Source organism: Homo sapiens, chromosome 18, assembly GCF_000001405.40.
Source record: "Homo sapiens chromosome 18, GRCh38.p14 Primary Assembly".
Classification (NCBI taxonomy): domain Eukaryota; kingdom Metazoa; phylum Chordata; class Mammalia; order Primates; family Hominidae; genus Homo; species Homo sapiens.
In genome coordinates this window covers 165,618-192,093 of record NC_000018.10, presented here as the reverse complement: position 1 = coordinate 192,093, position 26,476 = coordinate 165,618, and the positions used below count along the sequence as shown (strand labels likewise).

Genomic DNA, 26,476 nt, shown 5'->3' with positions numbered 1-26,476 from the left:
AGGTCAGTTTGCTCATCTGTAAACTGAGAAGCTTCTATTAAATGATTTCTAAATTCACTTTCAGCTTTATGATCCTCACTTAATTTACAACAGTACAACAAACTGGCCATGCAAATTCCTTTTCAAATGACTATTCAAACCATAGTCATTACTCACACAATGTCTTATTACAAAAGCTCAGAAATTATCATTCAGTTAATATCAAACACTGAAGTGAGAGGGAGACTGCATATACACTATGATTAAACTATGTGTACATACTACACACCCATTAGAGTGACTAAAATCAAAATTTAAAAAAAACTAGTATCACCCAATATCGGCAAGATTGTGGAGCAATCAGAATTACTGATCTAGTCAGTAATAATATGAATGGATCTCCAAGCTAGATACTGAGTGAAACAAGCCAGAACAAAAGAAAAGCATGACCTGTAGGATTCCGTTTATTTTACGTTTCAGAATGTGCAAACTAATATGAAATCAGTAGTTGCTGGAAGGGGGTGGAGAGGATAAGGATTAACTGAGAAAAGGCATGCCCAAGAAATTTTCTGAGATGATAGAAATGTTCTATACTTTGATAGGCAAATGGATTACAGAGAATTTGCATTTGTCAAAACTGATCAAACCAAACACTTAAGATATATGCATTTCACTAGATGTGAATTATATCTCAATTTAAAAAGCAAAACCTCTATGCTTATGTTAAGTAGTATGAAAGAAATCACAGAGAGTATTGTGTTAAATTGTACTCAATTGAAGGATTTTGTTTTTCCCTTTTTCATTTGTTTGCATCTTTCGGAAACTGATGTGACTCAACGAATTTTCTTAATTTTTCAATACACAATAATTCACAATAATGCCTGAATTATGTGTGTTCATTTTTAAAAACCTGAAAATCATTACATTTCCCTGTTAAGACATTTTAGCAACTTCTTAAAAGGCATTTTTGAAATTAAAATTAAGTACTAATATAGCAGACATACCCTGAACATCACTTGGGTATGTAATTAGCTATATAATCGCTGCTGTTACTGAATTTTACTTCTTGTTATAGGGTAACATGAATATGTAACTATTTCTACATTTATGGCAAAGATATACTAATGAATTATCAACCTTTTTTTTGTAACTAAGGAAGGTCATATGTAATTTAATATCCAAAAAAAAATTCCCATATTAGAGCAATAAAATGTAATTCCTAATTCATGTAAAACCATCCATTAAGCCAAATAACATTAACACTGAAGTTTATAAAGAAAAACTTAGAAAATAAAAGGAAACTGACAGAAATACTGAGAGGTTTTACAGTCAAAAGTACTGAGAATCTTTCCTTATCTCTGTCAAGTCAATAAATAAAAAGTAATGATATAGAAAATCAGAACATAATAAAATTAACCTAATGTCTATTATACTTTGACACCTACAAAGAGAGGACATTTTGACTTTTCTAGTCCCTATGAAATATTCAATCATACATCAGATCAAAAAGACAAACTCAAATTTCCAAAAACCAAAAGTTATGTAGGCCACAATCCTTACCCATAGTGAAATAAAGTACATTTATAACATATGCTTTCATATATGTGTTTCTAAATCCACTGGCTAAATAACTTGGCTTAAACTCTTGGGGGTGGATGTGGAACAGATGGAAAGCACATATAATGCTAATGAAAATATGAATTGGTACCTCCGTTTTTGAAACTGGTTGGCAAAACATACTAAAACTGAATATATAAATCCTTTTATGACCCAGCAGTTTCACTCATATATATTTTGTGCATATGCATACATACTCATATATACCCAACAGAAACAAATGCATGTGCCCAAAAATGTACTAGAATATTCAGAGTATATTTTTTCATAATCACCAAAAACTGAACATAAACCAAATATTCATCAACAGAAGAATGGATAATAACTTGGTAGTACAGGACACAACGGAATACTATACTATATAGCATGAATATAAACGAACCACCAATACACAGAACATGGATACACTAAACATCATGAGCCAGACCCATTACCCAGTCATCAGCCAGACAAATGGGCCCAATTTGTACATTTCTGTTCATAGAGTTCAAAACTGGTAAAATTGATCTATGAGATTAGAAGTCAGGATAGTATTTCCAATTTGGGAAACATAAACGGTGTTAGTGATTAAGATCTGTGAGGGGATTTTTAGAGTGCTAGAAGGGTTCTGCCTTTATTTTGGGTATATGGATGTGTTCACCCTGGGACAATTCATTGAGTTGTACACTTATAATTTGTATACTCTGGCATGTTATACTTCCATAATCAAAAATAAACGCGCCAGGCATGGTGGCTCTTGCCTGTAATCCCAGCACTTGGGAGGCCGAGGCAGGTGGATCACGAGGTCAAGAGATCGAGACCATCCTGGCCAACATGATGAAACCCTGTCTCTAATAAAAATACAAAAACTAGCTGGGCGTTGTGACACGCGCCTGTAGTCCCAGCTACTCAGGAGGCTGTGGTAGGAGAATCACTTGAACCCAGGAGGCGGAGGCTGCAGTGAGCCGAGATTGTGCCACTGCACTCCAGTCTGGAGGCAGAGTGAGACTCCTTCTCAAAAAAAAAACAAAGAAAAAACAAACAAAACTGAGCTAAAAGGAAAAGATAAGAGACTTTCTAGTGGCTTTTGTCAACATTTGAACAGCCTCATCTAACAAATAGAGAACAAGCAAAATCTCAGAACTAAATGCTTTCATTACTACACAAGGGTAAGTAAACAATCCACATATGAAACTTTTAAGTTAGAAAATAGACAATAAAACAAGCCTAAGGTAAACAGAAATAAGAAAAAATTAATACAAACAAAAGTAGGATGAATCAGACAACTCAAAAAATTGAATGAACAAATCTAATAGCCAATTCTTTGAAAACTAAAATACAAATCTCTAGCAAGAAAATCAAGGGAGGAAAACACAAATATAACAAATAAGAAATAAAAATACAAAAAAAAAACCATACAGGTCCAATAGTAGAATAACTCTTAAGCTGAAATAATTTAAAGACAGGACAATTTTGTAGGAAAATATAAATTACCAAAACTGACTTTAGAAGAGAATAAGTACATTTAAAATACCCCAAAGGCCAAGCACGGTGGCTCACGCCTGTAATCCCAGCACTTTGGGAGGCCAAAGCCGGGGGATCACCTGAGGTCAGGAGTTCAAGACCATCCTGGCCAACATGGTGAAACCACGTCTCTACTAAAAATACAAAAAATTAGCTGGGCATAGTGGCGGGTGCCTGTAATCCCAGCTACTTGGGAGGCTGAGGCAGGAGAATCGCTCGAACCCAGGAGGCGGAGGTTGCAGTGAGCCGAGATCATGCCACTGCACTCCAGCCTGGGCAACACAGCGAGACTCTGTCTCAAAATAAAATAAAATAAAATAAAATACCCCAAAAAAGCTGAGTGCAGACAATTTCATGGGCAAGGCTTTCAACAACAGATCAGTCCTATAAAAACATGAAAGAAAATAAAAGTTCCAGGAAAAGATAGACATAGAGCTAGCATAACTGTAACACCAAACCCTCACAAAGGAAAAAAAAAAAAAAAAAAGCCAGAGGGAGACAGAATGCTATAAATCAGTCTTACTAACAAATGACCCCAAAAAATCCTTTTAAAATGTTCCAGCAAATTAAATTCAGCGCTATATATTGAAAGAATACGAATGTATCAGGAATATAGTCTACTATTAGGCTAACTATTAACATAATGTATCACAAATAGATCCAGTGAGAAAAATCTTAGTACTAGGTCAACAAACAACATTTGATAATTTTAACATGTATTTCTTATTTTTAAAAAACCTCCAGTAAACAAATGGAGGGATACTTTCTTAACATTCTTAAGAATATTTCCACCAAACCTGAGGGGAAGAAGACAAGGAGAAAAAAAGAAAAAAGAAAAAAAGAACATTTCCACCAAACCCAAGATCAATATTTAACCCTAAAATACAACAGTCCTATTAAAATCAAAAACAAGAGAGAATTCCACAACCATCTACTATTTAACATTGTGTTAAAAGTTCTAGCCAGTGAAGCACGAAAGAAACATGAAGTAAACTACCTGAAACAGACAAAAATAACCTGAGTAATGGATTTGATTATCTATTTAGAAAATCCAAATACTAATAGAAAATATGCCTTATTTCCTCATAAATATATCATAAATCATAATCATAAATATCATCATAACTAAAATGTGTTTTCAGGGTAAATAAATGTGTTTTCAAGGTAAATAAAAACTACATTAAAATTTTCATAGAATATAAGGACTATTTCAATATTAGGGGAAAGTATATCTTGGAACCATGGAAATCTGATATTTGAAATTAGTACTCCTGATTTCTTCCCATCAGCTAGCAGGGCCAATAACAAAATGATCAAGGGAAAATTCATCTAACATTACAAAATACAAAAATTCAAAACAGTTGGAAATAAAACACGTGAAAAAAATCCATCTTACTGAAAGTCAAATAAGACCTGAAACAATGGGGAGACAGCCTATATTCCTGGATGGGGAAGCTAAATATTGCAAAAATGTCAATTTATCCCAAACTTAAAGCCATTATGGTCAAAATCCCAAAGGCTGACACTCCCACTATATATCCATTTAGAGGGAGAAAGGCGTATTGAACATGACTATGAAGTTCAAAGATATGTAAAATATGGATCAAACTATCCAGTAATACACTGAAAGTAAGAAGTATGCATTACTACACACCAGATGGTTAAAATGGCATAATACAAACACATATCGAAAATCAGACCTCAATAAATAAACCCAGTTAGAAAATCTAGGAACAGGTCTCAAAAATATTTAATAATAATACATATGATAAAAGATCAATGTGTATCAATATACAATAAATGGTGATGGGAGAAAAAAGAGAAACCTAGATTTTTACCTTAGAAATGTAAGTCACCAATAAACTCACGAGTAAACAGTAGTTCAATCTTACCAGTAGTCAAAAAATATTTATCATTATAATATTTTACATTGATGAATATGTACAGAATGTAGCATTCATATTTTTCTACCTTTTGGGATAACAACTGCCAATATCTGAAAGGTCAAACTATCCACTCTAATTTATTAACCCACTAACTCCACTTCCAGAAATTGATCCAAAGAATCCTATGCATCAAGATGTACTGCAGAATTGTTAATATGTAAGCATAAAAACAAAGACATGAGCACAAATTTAAGACTGTTTGAATTGGTTATAAAAAAACACATACACTGCTACACATATGTTTAAAGAAAAAACCCAAATATAACGCAAATCTTCATCCCTTTCTCTTTTTTTTTTGAGACACAGTCTCCCTCTGTCACCCAGGCTGGAGTGCAGTGGTGCAATCTCGGCTCACTGCAGCCTCTGCTCCCGGGTTCAAGCGACCCACCTGCCTCAGCCTCCCGAGTAGCTGGGATTATAGGCGCCTGCCACCAAACCTGGCTAATTTTTGTATTTTTAATAGAGACGGGGTTTCACCATGTTAGCCAAGCTGGTCTTGAACTCCTGACCTTCGGTGATCTGCCCGCCTCAGCCTCCCAAAGTGCTGGGATTACAAGCATGAGCCACTGCTCCTGGCCCATCTCTTTTTTTAAGAGGCAGGGTCTCATTGCATTGCCCAGGCTGGAGTGCAGTGGCATCATCACAGCTCACTGCAGTTGCAAACTCCTGAGCTCAAGCATTCCTCCCAGCTCAGCCTCATGAGTAGCTGGAACTACAGGTGCACACCACCACACTCAGCTATTTCTTTTTTATTGCAGAGATGCGGGTCTCACTATGTTGCCCAGGCTGGTCTTAAACTTCTGGCCTCAAGCTATAGATTCAGCCTCCCAAAGCACTGGGATCACAGGCATGAGCCATCACATCCAGCCCAGGGCACATCTTCAATCTGTATGAATTAAATGTATGATGCATTTTCATCATATCCTGACATAAGGGCCGAGAAGATGGCTGAGAAAAAGTGAATATCAAATATGTAGACTTTTCTGTTATTTAAAATTTTTTTGTCAAGAACAAGTTGAAATCTGTTACTTAGAATGAAGATATGTGTGCCAGATGTGGTGGCTCACACCTGTAATCCCAGTATTTTGGCAGACTGAGCTGGGAGGATTGATTGAGGCCAGGAGTTTGAAACCAGCCTGAGCAACATAGCCATCTCTTGTCTCTACTTAAAAAAAAAAAAAAAAAAAATCAGCTGGGCATAGTGGTGCATGCCTGAGGTCCCAGCTGCTCGGGAAGCCAAGTCAGGAGGATCCTTGAGCCCAAGAGGTCAAGGCTGCAGTGATCTGTGATCGTGCCACTCCAGAGCCTGGGCAACAGAGCGAGGGCCTGTCTCAAAAAATAAAAAATAATTTAAAATTTTTTTAAATTTTAAATGAAGACATGCCCTCAAAAAGCTAAAAAAAAGAAAATAATTTAAGTAGTGTAAGCAATCCCACATGCAATTCCACTCAATGAACATATCCCCTAGACAGCTGTGAGATGAGATATGGGGCTTTTCTGTTCTCTCCGAGTGTCTCAGTTCTTGCATGCCTCTCATAATATGAGCATCTCACTGAACTGAATGAGACGCTAGTGTTAACAGACAAATATTTTCAGCCAGGCACAGTGGCTCACACCTGTAATCCCAGCACTTTGGGAGGCTGAGGCGGGCAGATGACTTGTGAGGATTTTGAAACCAGCCTTGACAATATAGCAAAACCCGTCTCTACTAAAAATACAAAAATTAGTCAGGCATGGTGGCACACACCTGTAATTCCAGCTACTTGGGAGGCTGAGACAGAAGAATTGCTCAAGCCGGGAGGCAGAGGCTGCAGTGAGCTGAGATCGCACCACTGCACTGCAGCCTGGGTGAGGGAGTGAGACTCTGTCTCGAAAATAAATAAATAAAAAATAAGAAAAAAAAAATGAAAGAAAATCAGCAACCTAGTAACTGTTAACGCTGTGTATATTGAGAGCTGGGGCTTGCCAGTCTCCAATACAACAGATACGGCCATGTGATACTGTCTTTTGAGGAGTAATTTATAGAATTTTAGGATGATTTTTTTATAACATATAGTTTTCACTCTAGGTTCTAAATTGAGAATCTAACTCCAGGAGTATGATGGGATTCCACTGTTGGGCGGCATTAAGCAAGCCATTTCAAACCTTATTTTCACCTGTGGCTATAGTTCTTGATCCTTACTGCCTCTTAAGCTAATCCAGTCTATTTCTCTTGAACACACTTTCCTTCTACCCTCCATCATTATACATCCCACTCTCTTTTTATTTTATTTTATTTTTTGAGACAGGGCCTCACTCTATTACCCAGCCTGGAGTGCAGTGGCACACTGATGGCTCACTGCAGACTCGACCTCCCAGGCTCAAGCAATCTCCCACCTCAGCCTCTGAGTAGCTGGGACTACAGGCACACACCACCATGCCTGGCTAATTTTTGGTTTTTTGTTTGTTTGTCTGTTTTGTAGAGGTGGGGTTTTGCCACGTTGCCGAGGCTAGTCTCAAATTCCTAAGCTCAAGTGAGATACCTGCCTCGGCCTCCCAAAGTACTGGGATTACAGGCGTGAGCCATCACACTCGGGACCCATACCTCCCACTCTATAGAACCTGCCAAAGACAAGTTCTGCTAAGTATTTGTGAGGATGGTCTTCCTCATCTCCAGCTGTAAAACACCTCTCGTGGAATGTTTTTCTGTTCTTTCATTCTTGTTTTATCAGTTAGTGCCATTTTTCCAAAGACATACCACCATCCATGACATCTTGTATCAATTACGTTAGTAAGTGCACTCTCTTGAGAAAATTTAGAATTCAAAAACTACTTCTTTTGTTTGGCATCAGAGGTTGCTGTACAAAAAAAAGAAAAAATACTAAAAATAAAAACCAAAAAGCGAAAAAAGTAACTTTCACTTTTATTTTTTTAAAAAAAGGAAAAACAAAAAATACTTCTTTTGGTTTCAGGAAAATAGAACCACATAGGATGAAATCTCCCCTGCTTACACAGAACTCTTTCCAAAACATAAAAGAGCACTCTCTCAGGAACAGAGGCTAAAAGGCATCCAAGAAGAAAACAGTAAAGAGGAAATCTTGGAAGTGAGCCAAGGCTATCTCCATCAGCCACTCCCAAGGGTGCTAGCCAGAAAGCTACCCCAGCAAACTACCTATTCAGATAATTTGCAACTGGGACATAAGGAAGAGAATATGGTTGCATGATATGAGCACACAACCTTTAAACAAATGAGGGAAGAACAACCCTTACATCCAAAAAGAACAGAGTTAAAAGGCCAAACAACAAGGAAAAAAAAAAAAAACCTTTAAATAAAAATACTTCAGAGCCTCAGAAAAATAAAAGCAGGATTTAGATCCAAAAATTAAGAATAAGGAGTTATAAAAAAGAACAGAAGGTCATGATAAGTAAGCAGTGAAACAAAGTAGACGTATGAATCAGTAAAATGTAAGACAGAACTGAGGCATTTTCCTAGAGCACATCACATAAAAATTATAAAAATTTAAAACACGGAGGAAAGTTAGAAGACTAAAAAACAGATCTAGAAATTTTAATATGTATAAGAAACCAGGTGGAGGAGAAGCAGTACCTAAAGAAATAATGACCAAGAAATGTCCTAGAGTTTGCGACAAGAGTCCTCAGACTAAAAGTGCTCACTGAGTACTTTTATAAGATAAATAAAACCCACAGTCTCACATTCTTGGAAAACTGGGGGAAAGAAAAAAAAAAAAGAGAAAACCCTAAAAGCTACTAACAGAAAAGAATAAAAATCAAGACTGATATCAGACCTCTCATCAGTAAGCATGGACACACAAAAATAGTGGACAAATAACTACCAATCACTGAGGAAAAATGGCTTTGACCTAGACTCTTGCTCCAAGCAATATTATCATCCAAGGATAAGAGGAAAGGGTAAAATAAAGCAATATTTTGGGATATATATAAAAGACACAGTAAGATTCACCAGGCAATTTTTTAAGCAAAATTAAAATAAAAACTGTTGAAGAATAAAATAATAATCTTAGCTACCTAGAATTCAGAGGATAATTTGAATGTCAGTACTCTGCTTAAAATCTTCCAATGGTTTCTCTTCGCCCACAACACGAAGTCCACACTTCTTAAAAACGACTTCAAGATTTCTGGCTGGCCCCTGCTAATCTCCCATCTATCACCGTTTCTACATCCATCCTTCTCCAGGCAGTTGCACTGAGTATGTTGCAGTCTCCTGCCTCCAGACTGTTGCTTAAAAACTCTTTCCTCCAGTCCACTCTCACACTTCCCTAACCTCTCATCCAGGCTGGGATAACACCTAACTGTTTAAATACCAGTTACTCTAAGAAGTCTTCCCAAACTATCCTCAGATACCCCTGATGAACTCCCTTAGATGTTCTCATAGCAGCCTACATTTCCCATCAAAGCAGTTCTGAAACAGTACCTGTTTACTTGATAGTCTTTCTCTATTAGACTGTAGGTGCCTTGAAGACAGATACTGTGTCTTGTTCACTGATAATATATCAGCTGCAATCTATGCAATTTCTCATAAATACCTGACAACTATTCGCTTCAGAGAAATGTAGAAAACCTTTAAAGTCACTCTTTCAGATTTTTGCACACTCCTTCTCTCCCTTCTCTTCTGCTCAGTTCTATCACAACATTTCACAATAGACTGAGGGGAAAAAACAAAAATCAATATTCATAAAGCTGTCTAGAATCCAAATTGTAGTTCAGAATTCTATCATAAAGAACTGACAATTTATGTATCAAGACAGTTGTATAAATTTAGTCAGAATTAAGTTACATATTTTTTAAGTTACACTTATACTCACCGGAAGAAAGGGCCCTTATTTGTAGACCATTTTACAGGTTCTCAAAACATTTGTAATTAATTCTTTACTCTTTTCCTTTCATACGATGGTATAAAAACAAAATGTTCTTTCTTTTTTGAAACCAGTACTGACTGACATAAGGATAGACATATATATAAATGGAAAAGAATCCAGGGTCCAGAAATGAACCTATACATTAAGGTCAACTGACTTTCAAAAAAGGTGCTAAGACAATTCAGTGGGGAAACAATAGCCTTCAACAAATGATACTGGAAGAACTGGATATACACATGCAAAATAATAGGCAAATACCTCCCTCCCTCCCACCATACATAAAAATTAACCACAGGCCTGAATAGAAGAGCTAAAAGTATATTAACTCTTGAAAAACAACAAAGAAGTAAGTCTTTGTAACCTAGAATTAGACAATGGCTTTTACATATGAAACCAAAAGCATATGTGATAAAAGAAAAAATTAAAATTAAGATTAAACTACATCAAAATTAAAAAACATTTGCATTACAAACGTACCATCAAGAAAAGTAAAAGGAGACTGCATACAACAGACTTAGGAAAAAAATAAATTTTAAAAAAGAAAGTAAAATGACAGCTTATAGTATAGAAGAAAAGATTTGCAAATTATCCATTGGGTAAGGAACTTGTATATATGTAAAAACACAATTGAATTTTTAAACAGACAAATAACCCAATTAAAACACAGGCAAAAGATTTAAACAGACATTTCTCCAAAGAAGATATACAAATGGCCAATAAGCACATGAAAAGATGCCCAACATCATTAGCCACTAAAAAAAATGTGCATGACAACCACAATGAGATACCACACTTCATAGCGCTAGATGGCTTAATCAAAGACAGACAATATTGGCAATTTTCTCACATTGCTGGTGAGAATGTAAAATGGTACCGTCACTTTGGAAAATCATTGTGGCAGTTCCTCAAAACATTAAACATAGAGTTACTATATGAAAACGTTCATCTACACAAAAAACATGAATGTTCACTGCAGCATTACTCATAACAGCCAAAAAGGAGAAACAATTCAAATTTCCATCAACAAAATGAATGGATAAATAAAATGTGATATATCCATAAAATGAAATACTATTCAGCCATAAAATAGGAATGAGGTGTTACGTGTGCTGTAACATGAATGAACCATGAAATACTATTCAGCCATAAAATAGGAATGAGGTGTTACGTGTGCTGTAACATGAATGAACCATGAAATACTATTCAGCCATAAAATAGGAATGAGGTGTTACGTGTGCTGTAACGTGAGTGAACCATGAAATACTATTCAGCCATAAAATAGGAATGAGGTGTTACGTGTGCTGTAACGTGAATGAACCATGAAATACTATTCAGCCATAAAATAGGAATGAGGTGTTACGTGTGCTGTAACGTGAGTGAACCATGAAATACTATTCAGCCATAAAATAGGAATGAGGTGTTACGTGTGCTGTAACCTGAATGAACCATGGGAACATGCCAAATGAAAGAAGTTAGCCGCAAAAAGGCCACATATTATACGATTCAATTTACATGAAATGCCCAGAATGAGCAAATCTATGACAGAAAGTAGATGAACGGTTGGCTAGGGCTAGAGGTGGGTGAAGGGGTTAAAGGAGTGACTGCCAGTGAGTACGACACTGCTTTTGGAGGGGGCGGAAAATGTCCTAAAATCGATGGTGGTGATGGTTGCACAAACTTGTAAATACTATAAAAAGCATTAAACACTTTAAAATGCTGAATTGTATAATAAATTAATTATATCTCAATTAAGATGCTAAAGAAAGCAAAACAAAACAATACTACTCATCCAAATGTGAACATCCCTTACCCAAAAAAGACTGCAGTCTTACCTTTTAAGGGCATCTTTGAGTTCAGGCACAGAACGAATACACTGAACTGTGGCATTCATGTAACAAGTGTTACCAAGGTTTGTCAATCCACATGGTAACTCCATCTAGTTGGAAAAAAAAAAAAAAAAGGATTAAATCATTAAACCATTTTTACAAAATGACATGGCATATATAAATCACTAAAATTCTCATTTTGAATCAAGTACCATTTACTAGCTTCTACCAATTTATATTCTGCCTTCACGCTAAAGAAACAGTTTTATTTCCCCCAAAAAAAAGTTTACTTGGATCATGCTGGCCATCATATTATGTTTTAGTTTCCTTCTTAAATATAATAAGAGAATAATCATACTAGTCTTGCCTTTTTTGCAGGTTTATCAAGAGAAGAGAATAGGCAAAATATGCAAAGAAACACTTCAAAACAAAAAGCAAAATAACAGGTTGGGCACAGTGGCTCACACCTGTAATCCCAGCACTTTGGAAGGCTGAGGTGGAAGGACTGCTTGAGGTCAGAAGTTCAAGATCAGCCTAGGCAACACGGCAAGACCCCATCTCTACAAAAAAAAAAAAAAATTTTTTTTTTTATTTGCTGGGCATGATGGTGCACGCCTACAATTTTCGCTACTCAGGAGCCTGAGGTGGGAGGATCACTTGAACCCAGGAAGTTGAGGTTACAGTGAGCTATGATCATACCACTGCACTCCAGCCGGGGTGACAGAGCAAGACCCCATCTCAAGGAAAAAAAAAAAAAAAGCAAAAAAAAAAACCATGAAAATGAATGAATGGCACTAAATAAATGCTAGGTGTTAAAAAAAAAATTGACACGTGTTGACCAGTTTCTAAACTGATTTTGCATTTAAATTCAGGATAAAATGTATGTATTTTCCACATGAAGGATTTTAAAAATTTAAATATCCCAACATTTAAACTACTCTTTGACCCTGTTTTCTCATAAAATAGTAATAGTAAATACTTATATAGTACTATCTGCCAGGAACATATTTATTACAGATATTAGCTAAATATATGTAAGTTAAGCCTAAGTAAATTCACTTGGAAGTCTGAAAACCAGTAGTAAGGTGTACAATACAAAAAAAAACCCCTAGCTGTGCCTTATTTAACTACAGAAGGACTCCCTTAAGCTAATCAAAAATAATAAAACTCTTATTTACTGCTAAAAATATCTATCTTGGTATTAATGATTAAGTCTTCAAGACATTCAGATGCTACTTTCTGAAAGACACCTTAATAATGGTCCTTCAAAAAGTAGTGATCAAACACATAAAATCTGGTGTGTCTTACAGCAGATGCTAACTGTTCTTCTGTCATGTCTTCTACGAAGACAGTTTTGGCTGAGGGTTCTTCTGGAAGAGCATCTGCTGACCCCATCATTAGTAGAGTCATTCCCTGTTTTTAAAAAAAGTAATTTCATGAAAATCCTTAAAAGTTGGTAATGTTTATGTCAAACCAAAAGAAGCCAGGAACAAAAGAACACATATAACATAATTCTATTTGCCAAAAAAAGTAAATCTGCAGAAAGTAGATTAGTTGCTGCCTAGGACTGGAGATGGGGAGAGGGAGTGACCTTAAATGGTACAAGTTTCTTTCTGGGGTAATGGAAATGCTCTAAAATTAGACTGTGGTGAAGGCTGCACAACTCTGTAAATACACTACTAAAAATCACTGCATTGTTTAAAACAAGTAAAAAGCACTGGGGTGGCTGTTTGAGGCCAAGGCAAAGGTGTACAAAGAAACTTTTTCGTGATGAAACTTCTAAATCGTGATTGTGGTAGTGGTTACATGACAATATAGAATCGCCCAAAGTCATCAAACTGTACATCAAACACAGGTGAATTTTACTCTATATAAATTGTACCTGAATAAAGCTTAAGGAAAAAATAAGTATTGCCATAAAAACACCTAATAATGTTTACAATATTGAAGCAGAGGGAATTCCTCAAATGATCATTAACATTTAGTGGCATTATCTCTCTCCATAACAAACTTACAACTAATAAAATTCAGACCAGGCATGGTGGCTCATGCTGTAATCCTAGCACTTTGGGAGGCCAAGGCTAGTGGATGGTTGGAGTCCAGTTCAAGACTAGCCTGGGCAACATGGCGAAATCCCATCTCTACAAAAAATACCAATATTAGCTGGGCATAGGGGTGCATGCCTGTAGTCCCAGCTACTTGGGGGCTAAAATGGGAGGATCACTGGAGCCTGGGAGGTTGAGGCTGTGGTGAGCTGTGATCACACCACTTGCATTCCAGCCTGCGCGACAGAGGGAGACCCCGTCTCAAAAAATATAACAAACAAACAAACAAACAAACACTAATAAAATTATTTCTGTGAATGTCTATTGTGTAACTGTAGTGATTGTTTACATTTAAATACAAATATTTTTAGAGCATTAAATTCTCTATTACTAAAAAATATCAAACCAAATACAGAGTAAATTTGTTCAAAATATCCAATTATATAATTCTACACATTAACCTAAGTAAATACTTTTATTTAATACATATGCAAACACTCCATACAATCAATAGAAAGACAAGGAAGACACTGTCATTGTAAAGCTCATAATCTTAAAATATGAATAACATCTTACTCTCTTACTCAGTATCTTAATTGGAAGGCATGAACACATGAGACAAAGTAAAAGGTAGGACCAGAAGTGGAGATTTAAAAAAAAAAAAAAACAGGGAGGGAAAAATGATAGCCAGAAGACTAAAAATATCCAGATGATGATTAAAATTAGGAAATTAGTTCAGTTAAGAATACCTACAATTAAATTTAATGACCTTTATTCTATCACCTTTTATTTCTACATAGACATTTTATAAGATCATTGCAAAGCAGTAAAGCAGTACTAAGCCATCACTACAGAATTTTTTTTTTTTTTTTTTTTTTAGAGACAGGGACTCACTCTGTCACCCAGGCAGGAGTGCAGTGGCACAATTATAGGTCACTGTAGCCTCACACTTCTGGCCTCAAGTGATCCCCCCATCTCAGCCTCCCAAAGTGCTGGGACTGCAAGTATAAGCCACCCCACCAGGCCAAGAATCTTTTTCCAAAGACAACTGTCTCAAGAGCCAACTATTTAAAGAATACACTAGCAATAACCAGTTGGAAAACACAATAGAAGAAATGCCAACATATATCTAAGAATAAGCATAACAAGAAAAATGTAATACTTTAATGAGAGAATAAAGCTTTACTTAAGGATATTTTTAAAAAAAGCACCTAAATAAACTGGAAGACATGACAAGCTCTGGACTTGAAAAATTACTATAAAGATGCAATTATAGTTATATAAATTTAATGAAATTCCTTTACAAAACCTTGCAAAATGATTCATTCATGCAGCAAATTTATACCCAGGATAATAGCTAAGAAATTTCTGAAAAAGAATAGAGACTAAAACAATGCCCTTAAAAAATTATTAGGAAAAGGGATTATACAATGAAAAATATTGAGAAAAACTGTATACTTTAGAAAAAACATACTATCAGCTCTCTACTTCATACCATACCACAACAACAATTAATTAAAGATTTAAATGTAAAAAAATTAATATTCATAAAAGAATGCAAGTGAATCAAAAAACTCATGCATTGTTGGAAGATTTTCTAAAACTGACATAAATATTAACAATTGATGTAACTAGCTACACAAATCTTAAAAATGTCTATAAAACATTTGAAAACAATAAACTAGGGGCAAAACTATACCATATATACTAAGCACTCAAAAAAGCAAATCTATAAGAAAAAGCAAATACATACTACAAAAATGAGCAAAAGAGATTTAAAAAAAGGCTTAAAATTAATGAACTAGGTAAGCTTCTACCTTAAGCTAGAAAAAGTAAAAATTAAAACCAAGCCATGTGTGGTGGCACACACCTGTAGTCCAAGGTAGTCGGAAGGCTAAGGTGGGAGTACTGCTTGAGCCTAGGTGCTCAAGGTCAGCCTCAGCAACATAGCAAGACCCCATCTCTAAAACAAACCAAAAAAGTCACCACCATTTGCCTGGGTTTCAGCACTTCATTCAACAAAATATGATTATATAAAAATTTTCAAAATTTTAAAAAATTTAAAACCGAAGTAGAAAGAAAGAAAGCAAAGAGAAAAAATAAACGAAGTAATAAATGAACAGGCCAAATGTTTTTTTTTTGGGGGGACACAATCAATGAAACTGACAAAACTCTGGCTTGATGATAGAGGAAACAGACAAATCATAATTTGCCAATACTAGAGAGGAAAACGAAAAAGCAGCACTACACATTCTAGAGTTAAAGGGTAATAACAGTAGAATATGACAATCAATTCAGCAACTTAAATGAACCAATTCCTTAAGAAATACTGATTATCAAACTGATAGGAAAGAAAACATAATATCTAAATAGTCCTACATTTATTAAAGACACTAAATTCTTAAAGTCTTCCTACAAAGAAAACTCCAAACCCACATGAAGTCTAGTGAACTAGGCTTCACTAGAGAATTTTAGGCAACATTTAAAGAAAAAATATCCCAGTGGAGTGGGAGCAGAAATAAAAAAGGAAGAAAAAATATTAATACAAACTCAGAAAAGAGGGGATGCTTCCTAACTCACTGTATAAGACTAACATTACACTGATAGCAAAACCAGATAAAAAAGAATACAAGAAAACTACAAACCATTATCTCTTATGAAAAGAGACACAAAAAACCTTAACAAAAGATAAGCAAATAGAATCTAGCAATATATAATGTCCAAGTGGGGTTTATCCCAAGAATATAAGTTCTGTTTAATACTCAAAAGTCTGTGTAGTTTAATGGATAAAATGAGAGGAAGAAATGATATAGAAAAGGCATTTAACAAAATGACAAAATTCAACTTCCATTCGTGACAAAACCTCTCAGCAAACTAGAAAGAGTTCCTGAACCTGATGATGAACATCTATAAACTACCACCAGCCATGACTGGAGGCTTTTCCCCTAAGGTCAGGAAAAAGGCAATGATGTCCACTATCAACCACTTCTACTCAGCATTGTTTAAAGTCTTAAGCATTGCAATAAAGAAAAAAAGAGAAACAAAATGCACAAAGATTAAAAAGGAAGAAATAAAACTGTCCTTATTTGCAGATGACATGTATACCTAACAATATCCTAAGAAATTAATATATGAAATAAAGTCACAGGATACAAAGTCAATTATAAAAATTAACTTTATTTTTATATACTAGCAAGCAATTGGAAAATGACATTTCAAAAACACCACAGCTGGGTGCAGTGGCTCACGCTTGTAATCCCAGCACTTTGGGAGCTCAAGGCAGAAGGATTGCTTGAGACCAGTTCGAGAACAGCCTGGCCAACATGGCAAAACCCCATCTCTACTAAAAACACAAAAATTAGTCCGGCGTGGTGGCACATTCCTGTAGTCCCAGCTACTCGGGAGGCTGAGGCACGAGAACTGCTTGAACCTGGGAGGCAGAAACTACAGTGAGCCATGATCACGTCACTGCACTCCAGCCTAGGCAAGCAACAGAGCAAGACTCTGTCTCAAAAACAAAAACAAAAAATTAGCCAAGCACAATGGTGCATGCCTATAGTCCCAACTACTCAGGAGGGTGAGGTGGGAGAACCCCTTGAGCCCCAGAATTCAAGGCTGCAGCGAGCTATGATTGTGCCACTGCACTCCAGCCGACAAAGCAAGACCTCGTCTTTAAAAAAAAAAAAAAAAAGAAAGAAAAGTACCACTTACGACAACATTAAAAACCATGAAATAAGCCGGGTGCAGTGGCTTACACCTATAATCCCAGCACTTGGGGAGGCCAAGGCAGGTGGATCACTCTAAGTCAGGAGTTTGAGACCAGCCTGACCAACATGGTGACACCCCGTCTCTACTAAAAATACAAAAATTAGTCAGACATGGTGGCAAGTGCCTATAATCCCAGTTACTCAGGAGGCTGAGGAAGGAGAATCACTTGAAGCCAGGAGGCGGAGTCTGCAGTGAGCTGAGATCACGCCACTGCACTCCAGCCTGGGCGTCAGAGCAAGACTGTCTCAAAAAAAAAAAAAAAAAGAAAGAAAAACGTGAAATACTTAACAATATGTGGAACAAAATATGTGTAAGTCCCAACATTGAACATTTAAATAAAGGAAAGGTTTACCATGTTTGTAAGTTAGAAGACTCAATATTGAGATGTCCCAGACTGACATACAGATTCAATGCAATTCCAATCAAAATCCCAGCAGACTCTTATGGAGAAAATGACAAGCAGAATCTAAAAATGTGCAATAGATGTACAAAGTTCCCAGAATAGCCAACGCAACTTTAAAAAAGAAAAACAACTGGAAGACTTAGACGACCTGATTTCAAGGCCTGAAGAATCAAAACAGCAGGGAATGGGTACTGGTACAAAGGTACATATAAAAATCAATGGAAGAAAACAGAATCCAGAAATAAACCCTTATGTTTATGGTCAACTGATTTTCAACAAAGGCACTGAGGAAGAATGGAAAAGAATAGTCTTTTCAACAAATGTTGCTCACTAAATACTCATGTGAAAAAAATAACCTCAACCATTGCTTAACAGCAAACACAAGAATTTACTCAAAACAGATAATAGACCGGGTGCGGTGGCTCACACCTGTAATCCCAGCACTTTGGGAGGCCGAGGTGGGCGGATCACCTGAGGTCAGGAGTTCAAGACCAGCCTGACCAACATGGAGACCAGTCTGACCAACAACATACTAAAAAAAATACAAACAATTAGCTGGGTGTGGTGGTGCATGCCTTTAATCCCAGCTACTCAGGAGGCTGAGGCAGGAGAATCTCTTGAACCTGGGAGACGGAGGTTGCGGTGAGCTGAGATCACGCCATTGCACTCCAGCCTGGGCAACAAGAACGGAACTCCGTCTCAAAAAAACAGACAATATAGGCCGGGCATGGTGGCTCAAGCCTGTAATCCCAGCACTTTGGGAGGCCAAGGCGGGCTGATCACGAGGTCAGGAGATAGAGACCATCCTGGCTAACATGGTGAAACCCCGTCTCTACTAAAAAAAATACAAAAAAAATAGCCGGGTGTGGTGGCAGGCACCTGTAGTCCCAGCTACTCGGGAGGCTGAGGCAGGAGAATGGCGTGAACCAGGAGGTGGAGCTTGCAGTGAGCCGAGATCGTGCCACTGCACTCCAGCCTGGGCAACAGGGTGAGACTCCGTCTCAAAGAAAAAAAAAAAAAAAGACAGACAATATATCTAAATGTAACAGCTAAAACTTATCAAGCTTTACAAGAAAACAGAAAAAAAAAATCTTGTAAACTTGGCACAGGCGAAGATTTCTTACAACATAGTACAAATCACTAAAAAATGTGATCAACTGACTTAGATAAAATTATCTTCTATCCAACAAAAGAGTATTACATAGATTAAAACACAGGGATACCTTGAAGATATTACAGTTTGGGTTCCAGAGCATGAGAAAGCAAATATCGCAATAAAGCAAGTCACACAAAAATTTTCCCCCAGTGCATACAAACATCATGTTTATATCAGTCTGTGAAGTATGCAACAGCATTATGTCTAAAAAGGAATGCACATACCTTAATTTTAAAATAATTTATTGCTTAAAAAAAAAAGCTGACAATCATCTAAGCCTTCAGTTAATGATCTTCTTGCAGGTGGGGGGTCTTGTTTCCAAGTTGATGACTACTGACTGATCACGGCACTGGTTCCTGAAGGCTGGGTAATTGCTTAAAATGAGACAACAATGAAACCTGCCACGCTGACTGACTTCCTTTCATGAAAGAGTTCTCTGTAGCTTGCGGTGCTGTTTAATAGCATTTTATCCACAGTAGGACTTCTTTCGAAACTGGAGTCAAACCTCTCAAATCCTGCTGCTGCTTTATCAAGTAAGCCTACGTAATATTTTAAATCCTTTATTGTCATTTCAACAACATTCACAGCTTCTTCACTAGGAGTAGAGTCTATCTCAAGAAATTACTTTCTTTGCACATCCATAAGTTACCTCCTCATCTGTTCAAGTTGTATCATGAGATTGTGGCAATTCAGTCACAATTTCAAGCTCCATTTTTCTATTCTTTTTCGTTTTTTAGATACAGGGTCTCACTCTGTCACTCAGATTGGAGTGCAGTGGCACAATCATAGCTCACTGTAACCTCAAACTCCTAGGCTTAAGCGATCCTACTGCCTCAGTCTCCAGAGTAGCTAGGACTACAGGTATACACCACCATGCCCAACTAATTTTATTTTTTGTAGAGACAGGGTCTCACTGTGTTGCCCAGGCTGGTCTCAAACTCCCAGCCTGAAGCTCTCCTCCTGTCTCAGACTCCCAAAGTGCTGGGATTATAGGAGTGAGCCACCATGCCTGGCCACTTCTAATTCTAGTTTCTTCCTATTTACACCACATGTGCAGTTGTATCCTCAACTCAAGTTTTGAACTCCCCAAAGTCATCCATGAGGGTTAGAATCAACTTCTTTCAAACTCCTGGTAAATACTGACTTCATTTTAACTTCCTCCCATGAATGCTCCTAATGGTATCAAGAATTCAGGTGAATCCTTTCCAGAAGGTTTTTAATTGATTTTGCCCAGATTCATGGAGAAATAACTTTATAGGGAAACTTTAGCCTTACAAAATGTATCTCTTAAATAATAAAAGTAGAAATTACTGATCCATGGGCTGCAGAATAGTTGTTGTAGCAGACAGGAAAACAACATTCATCTCGTTTATGTCTCTCAAAACTCTTAAGTGACTAGATGCATTGTCAATAAGCAGTAATATTTTGAAAGGAATCTTTCTGAGCAGGAAGTCTCAATGGTGGCCTTAAAATATTCAGTACTCCATACTATAAACAGACGTACTGGCATCTGGGCTTTGTTGTTCCATATACAGAGCACAGGCAGAGTAGATTTAGCATCATTCTTAAGAGATCCATGGTTTTTGGAATGGTAAACGAGCATTGGTTTCAACTTAAAGTCATTAGCTACATTAGCCTCTAACAAGACAGTCAGTCTGGCCTTTGAACCCAGGCACTGACTTCTCCTCTCTAGCTATGAAAGGCTTAGACAGCATCTTTTTCCAATATCAGGCTGCTTCATCCACACTGAAAATCTGTTGTATAGTGTAGCTACCTTCATCAACAATCTTAGCTAGATCTTCTGGATAACTTACTGCAGCTTCTCCATCAGCACTTACTGTTTCACCTTGCACTTTTATGTTACAGAGATTGCTTCTTTCTTTAAACCTCGTGAACCAACTTCTGCTAGCTTCAGTTTATATATATATATATATATATATATATATATTTTTTTTTTTTTTTTTAAGTTCCAGGGTACATGTCCAGGATGTGCATGCTTGTTACACAGGTAAACATTGTGTCATGGTGGTTTGCTGCACCTATAGACCCATCACCTAGGTATTAAGCCCAGCATGCATTAGCTATTTATCCTGATGCTCTCCCCACATCCCACTGCCTGACAGGCCCCCGTGTGTGCTGTTCTCCTCCCTGTGTCCATGTATTCTCATTGCTCGGCTCCCACTTACAAGTGACAACATGCGGTGTTCGGTTTTCTGTTCCTGTGTTAGTCTGATGAGGACAATGTAGCTTCCTCACCTCTCTCAGCCTTCACAGAATTAAAGAGAATTAGGGTCTTGCTCTGGTTAGGTTTTGACTTAAGAAAATGTTGTGGCTAGTTTGATCTTCTATCCACACCACTTAAACTTACTCCATATCAGCAATAAGGCTGCTTTGCTTTATCACTTGTGTGTTCATTGCAGTAACACTTCAAGAACTTATCTTTTAAATTATAAATTTCCTTTGAAAACTGGACCTTTGTATTCACAACTTGGTTAACTGCTGCAAAATGCCTAGCTTTTGGACTGTCTTGGCTTTACACAGGCCTTCTTTACTAAGCTTAATCATTTCTAGCTTTCTGTTGAAAGTAAAAGACATGAAACTCTTCCTTTCTCTTGAACACTTAGAGGTCACTGTAGGGTTATTTATTTATTTATTTATTTGTTTATTTTTGAGACAGAGTCTCGCTCTGTTGGCCAGGCTGGAGTGCAGTGGCATGATCTCAGCTCACTGCAACCTCCATCTCCCAGGCTCAAGCAATTCTCCTGCCTCAGCCTCCCGAATAGCTGGGATTACAGGCATGTGCCACTACGCCCGGCTATTTTTCTATTTTTATTTAGTGGAGATGGGGTTTCACCATATTGGCCAGGCTGATCTTGAACTCCTGAACTCAGGAATCCACCCGCCTCAGCCTCCCAAAGTGCTAGGATTACAGGTGTGAGCCACCGCGCTCAGCCTGTAGGGTTATTAATTGGCCTAATTTCAATACTGTCTTGTCTCAGGGAATAGGGAGGCTCGAGAAGAGGGAGGAGGGAACTGCGGGTCGGTGAGGCTGTCAGAAGACACATTTGTCGATTAAGTTTGCCATCTTACAGGTGTGATTCATGACACCCCAAAACAATTACAAAAGTAACATCAAAGATCAACATACTTGACATGAGAGTAATGAAAATGTTTCAAATATTGCAAGAATCACCAAAATGTGACAAAGAGACATGAAGTGAACATAGGCTGCTGGAAAAATGGTGCCTATAAACTTGCTCGATGCAAGGTGGCCACAAACCTTCAACTTATAAAAATCACAATTATCTGTGAAGCACAATAAAATGAGGTGTGCCTTTATATGAAACTCTGGGGTCAATCATAATATTTAAGAGGGCAAAAGGGTCACAAAACCAAGAAATTTGAGAACTGCACATCCCAGAAATGCACGGTTTAAGTTAAAAATCAATGAGATTAACCACACTACCAACAGAAAAAAAGAAAAAAAAATCACACCATCATTTTAACAAACAGAAAAAACACTTAACAAAATGTAACGGTCTTTCATAATTTTAAGTTGTAGTGAACTAGAATAAGACAAGATGTCCACTCTTTTTTTTTTTTTTTTTTTTTTGAGGTAGAGTCTTGCTCTGTTGCCCAGGTTGGAGTGCAGTGGTGTGATCTCAGCTCACTGCAACCTCCGCCTCCCAAAGTCAAGCAATTCTCTTGGCGTGCACCATGACACTCGGCTAATTTTTGTATTTTTAATAGAGACGGGGTTTCACCATGTTGGCCAGGCTGGTCTCGAACTCCTGACCTTAAGTGATCCACCATCCTTGGCCTCCCAAAGTGCTGGGATTACAGGTGTGAGCCACCACACCCAGCCAAGATGTCCACTCTTATCACTTTTTTTTTTTTGAGATGGAGTCTCGCTCTGTTGCCCAGGCTAGAGTACAGTGGCACAATTTCAGCTCACTGCAACCTCTGCCTCCCAGGCTCATGCCATTCTCCTGCCTCAGCCTCCTGAGTAGCTGGGACTACAGGCACCTGCCACCATGCACGGCTAATTGTTTTGTATTTTTTTTTTAGTAGAGACGGAGTTTCACCATGTTAGCCAGGATGGTCTCGATCTCCGACTTCGTGATCCACCCGCCTCGGCCTCCCAAAGTGCTGGGATTACAGGCGTGAGCCACCGCGCCCGGCCACTCTTATCACTTTCTATTAACACTGTATTAGAAGTCCTATTAAAAAGTAGGACAAGGCCTGGCACAGTGGCTCACGCCTGTAATTCCAGCACTTTGGGAGATCAAGGCAGGCAGATCACTTGAGGTCAGGAGTTCGAGACCAGCCTGGCCAACGTTGCGAAACCCTGTCTCTACCAAAAATACAAAAATTAGCCAGGCATGGTGGTAGGCGTTTGTAATCCCAACTACTCAGGAGGTTGAGGCAGGAGAATCACATGAACCCAGGAGGCAAATAATGCAGTGAGCCAAGATCACACCACCACACTCCAGCCTGGGCGACAAAGCAAGACTCTGTCTCAAAAAAAAGAAGTCATTTGCTTATCAATTATATGTCAATAAAGTTTAAGAAATCTGAAAGTCACGAATATTGAAAAGGGAGAAGTAAAATTGTCATTATTTGCAGATAACACGTTTATGTACACAGAAAACCCAATGGAATCTGCCCAAAACACAACTGGAATTAGTAAGTGAATTGCTTACAAGAATAAAGAATGAAAATAAACTTAGAAAAATCAACTGTATTTTGGCCGGGTGCGGTGGCTCACGCCTGTAATCCTAGCACTCTGGGAGGCCAAGGTGGGCGGATCACCTGAGGTCGGGAGTTCGAGACCAGCCTGACCAACATGGAGAAACCCCATCTCTACTAAAAATACAAAAGTTAGCTGGGCGTGGTGGTGGGCGCCTGTAATCCCAGCTCAGGCAAGAGAATTGCTTTAACCCGGGAGGCAGAGGTTGCAGCGAGCCGAGATCGCGCCATTGCACTCTAGCCTGGGCAATAAGAGTGAGACTCTGTCTCAAAAAAAAAAAAAAAAAAAAGAGAGAAAAATCAATTGTATTTTTACATTCTAGCCATGAACACTGGAAATATTTTTTAATATTATTTTAAGCAGCGAACAAATGTTAAGTTCCAATAATTTAAGAGAAGTCATGCAAGGGCTGGGCACAGTGACTCACACCTGTTAATCCCAGCACTTTGGGAGGCCAAGGCAGGAGGATCGCTTGAGCCCTGGAGTTCAAGACCAGCCTGGGCAACATAGTGACACCCCCATCTCTACAAAAAATAATTAAAATTAATTAATTAACTGGGCATGGTAACACCCGCCTGTGGTCCCAGCTACTTGGAAGGCTGAGATGGAAGGACTGCTTGAGGCTGGGAGTTTAAAGCTGCAGCGAGCCATGACCATGCCACTGTGCTCCGGCATACGTGAGAGTGAGACCCTGTCTCAAAAAAAAAACCACTCATGCAAAACCTCTATGTTTAAAAACTACAACTCTGCTAAGAGAAAAACAGAGACCTAAATAAATAAGGAAGTACATCATATTCAGGGATTTTAATACTCAATATTGTTAAGATGTTTATTCTCCCCAAATTGAGCTACAGATTCAATGTAATCTCAAACAAAATCTCAAAGAGGAGAAAGTTGGAGAGCATAAGAACATATACTATCTTATTTCAAGACTCTTTTTTTGGAGACGGAGTCTCGCTCTGTTGCCAGGCTGGAGTGCAGTGGCACGATCTCGGCTCACTGCAATCTCCGCCTCCCAGGTTCAAGTGATTCTCCTGCCTCCTGCCTCTGCCTCCCGCCTCAGCCTCCCACCTCAGCCTCCCGAGTAGCTAGGATTACAGGCGTGCACCACCACACCCAGCTAATTTTTTTTTCAAGGCTTTTATTATAAAGCTTTAGTAATCAAAACCATTTGGTACTAGTGTAACTTTAATCTACTAGATCAATGAAACAAAAACCCAAAAACAAACCTATAACTACTTTTCAAGAAAGAGCCCAACACAAGTCAATGGGAAAAGGTAAGTATTTTCAACAGATAGTGCTGGAACAACTGGATATACACATGAAAAAAAGTCATCTGGAATGTATTTTGGTATCATAATGAGGTTACTGCATTATAATAAACGTTCATAAGATAATACTTACATTTTTTATTTTGATGTTTCCCCAATCATCATCCTGTTTCAAAGACAAACAAAAGACATTTAACCACCACTGTACAAGCTGAACACAATCTAATAATCAATTTATTTTAATGTACTTCAAAACAGAATAAAATTTATCCTATATGCAGATTTTATTTAAAATTATGGCAATTAAAAAAATTTTTTTTGGCCAGGCACAGTGGCTCACGCCTGTAATCCCAGCACTTTGGGAGGCTGAGGCAGGCAAATCACCTGCGGTCAGGAGTTCGAAACCAGCCGGACCAATATAAAGAAACTCCATCTCTACTAAAAATACAAAAAGTAGCTGAGCATGGTGGTGCACACCTGTAATTCCAGCTACTCGGGAGGCTGAGACAAGATAATTGCTTGAACCCAGGAGGCAGAGGTTACAGTGAGCCGAGATCTCACCACTGCACTCCAGCCTGGGCAACAGAACAAGGCTCCATCTCAAAAAAAAACAAAAATTTTTTTTAAACACAAGTGGTACTAAAGCCAGGGTTTCAAATAATTTGCTTCAACTGCATAAGGTAACACAATACAAAAGGCAGTAACCTGTATTTACAGCATCAAATACTAAAAAACACATAAGTATAAAAAAATACTTTTAGCAAGTACTAAAAAACACTTGACTAATGACAAATGATAGATCCTATTTTTTGGATGTTTGGAACCAGCAGAGCTAATAAATAACAAGCTTACGTGGCAAGAATGAAGAGTTAATGTCTATAACGCATCTATAAAGCAAGTATATACTTTCCTTTCAATATGTTGAATAAAAATCAAGAATTTTTTTTTTAAATGCATGATTAGTCCAGAGTAATATTTTTACTAACTACAGCTAGGCCTTTCCCCTCATAGGATAAAGTCGATTCTATATTACTCCCTTTTATAGAAGGTATCGGGTACCCAATATGCTTGTCTACCCTTCATTGGTGCCACTAATTATCTCTTTTATCTGCTTTAAAATGGAACGGTAACTTCCTAAAGGCCCTTCTCAATTTAAGGTCTATGACTGCTAAACATAATGAATGATAACTATAAATGCCCCCTAAGATCACTTACCCAAGGTCACACAAAACTGGGAAGTGAACACAGATCTGCTTGATGTATAAATCATATGCTCTTTTGGTGCCTTACTATGTTACTTAAACCTCTTTGACACTCATTTATAAAATTTCCTCA

At 37.6% G+C, this 26,476-nt stretch overlaps 1 protein-coding gene across 2 annotated transcripts in view, besides 1 other annotated feature; it reads right to left on the bottom strand.

Annotated features, from left to right (window-relative positions):
- The window catches only part of USP14 (ubiquitin specific peptidase 14), a 56,073-nt gene that overhangs the window by 22,536 nt on the left and 7,061 nt on the right, over window positions 1-26,476 (bottom strand). Inside the window, exons 3-5 of one of the 2 annotated variants that reach the window (NM_005151.4) lie at window positions 25,275-25,307; window positions 13,057-13,161; window positions 11,755-11,858 (exon numbers count right to left, since the gene is read on the bottom strand). In NM_005151.4, the coding sequence (NP_005142.1) occupies window positions 11,755-11,858; window positions 13,057-13,161; window positions 25,275-25,307 (242 nt within the window). The remainder of the gene's footprint in view (window positions 1-11,754; window positions 11,859-13,056; window positions 13,162-25,274; window positions 25,308-26,476) is intronic. The other variant, NM_001037334.2, reaches the window with a different exon arrangement.
- Window positions 5,620-6,121: an enhancer, noted in NCBI's record as "H3K27ac hESC enhancer chr18:185973-186474 (GRCh37/hg19 assembly coordinates)". NCBI's record gives its function as "activates a minimal SCP1, AML or CMV promoter by ChIP-STARR-seq in primed H9 embryonic stem cells {active_cell/tissue: H9 hESC(primed)}" and the evidence as "EXISTENCE:reporter gene assay evidence [ECO:0000049][PMID:30033119]".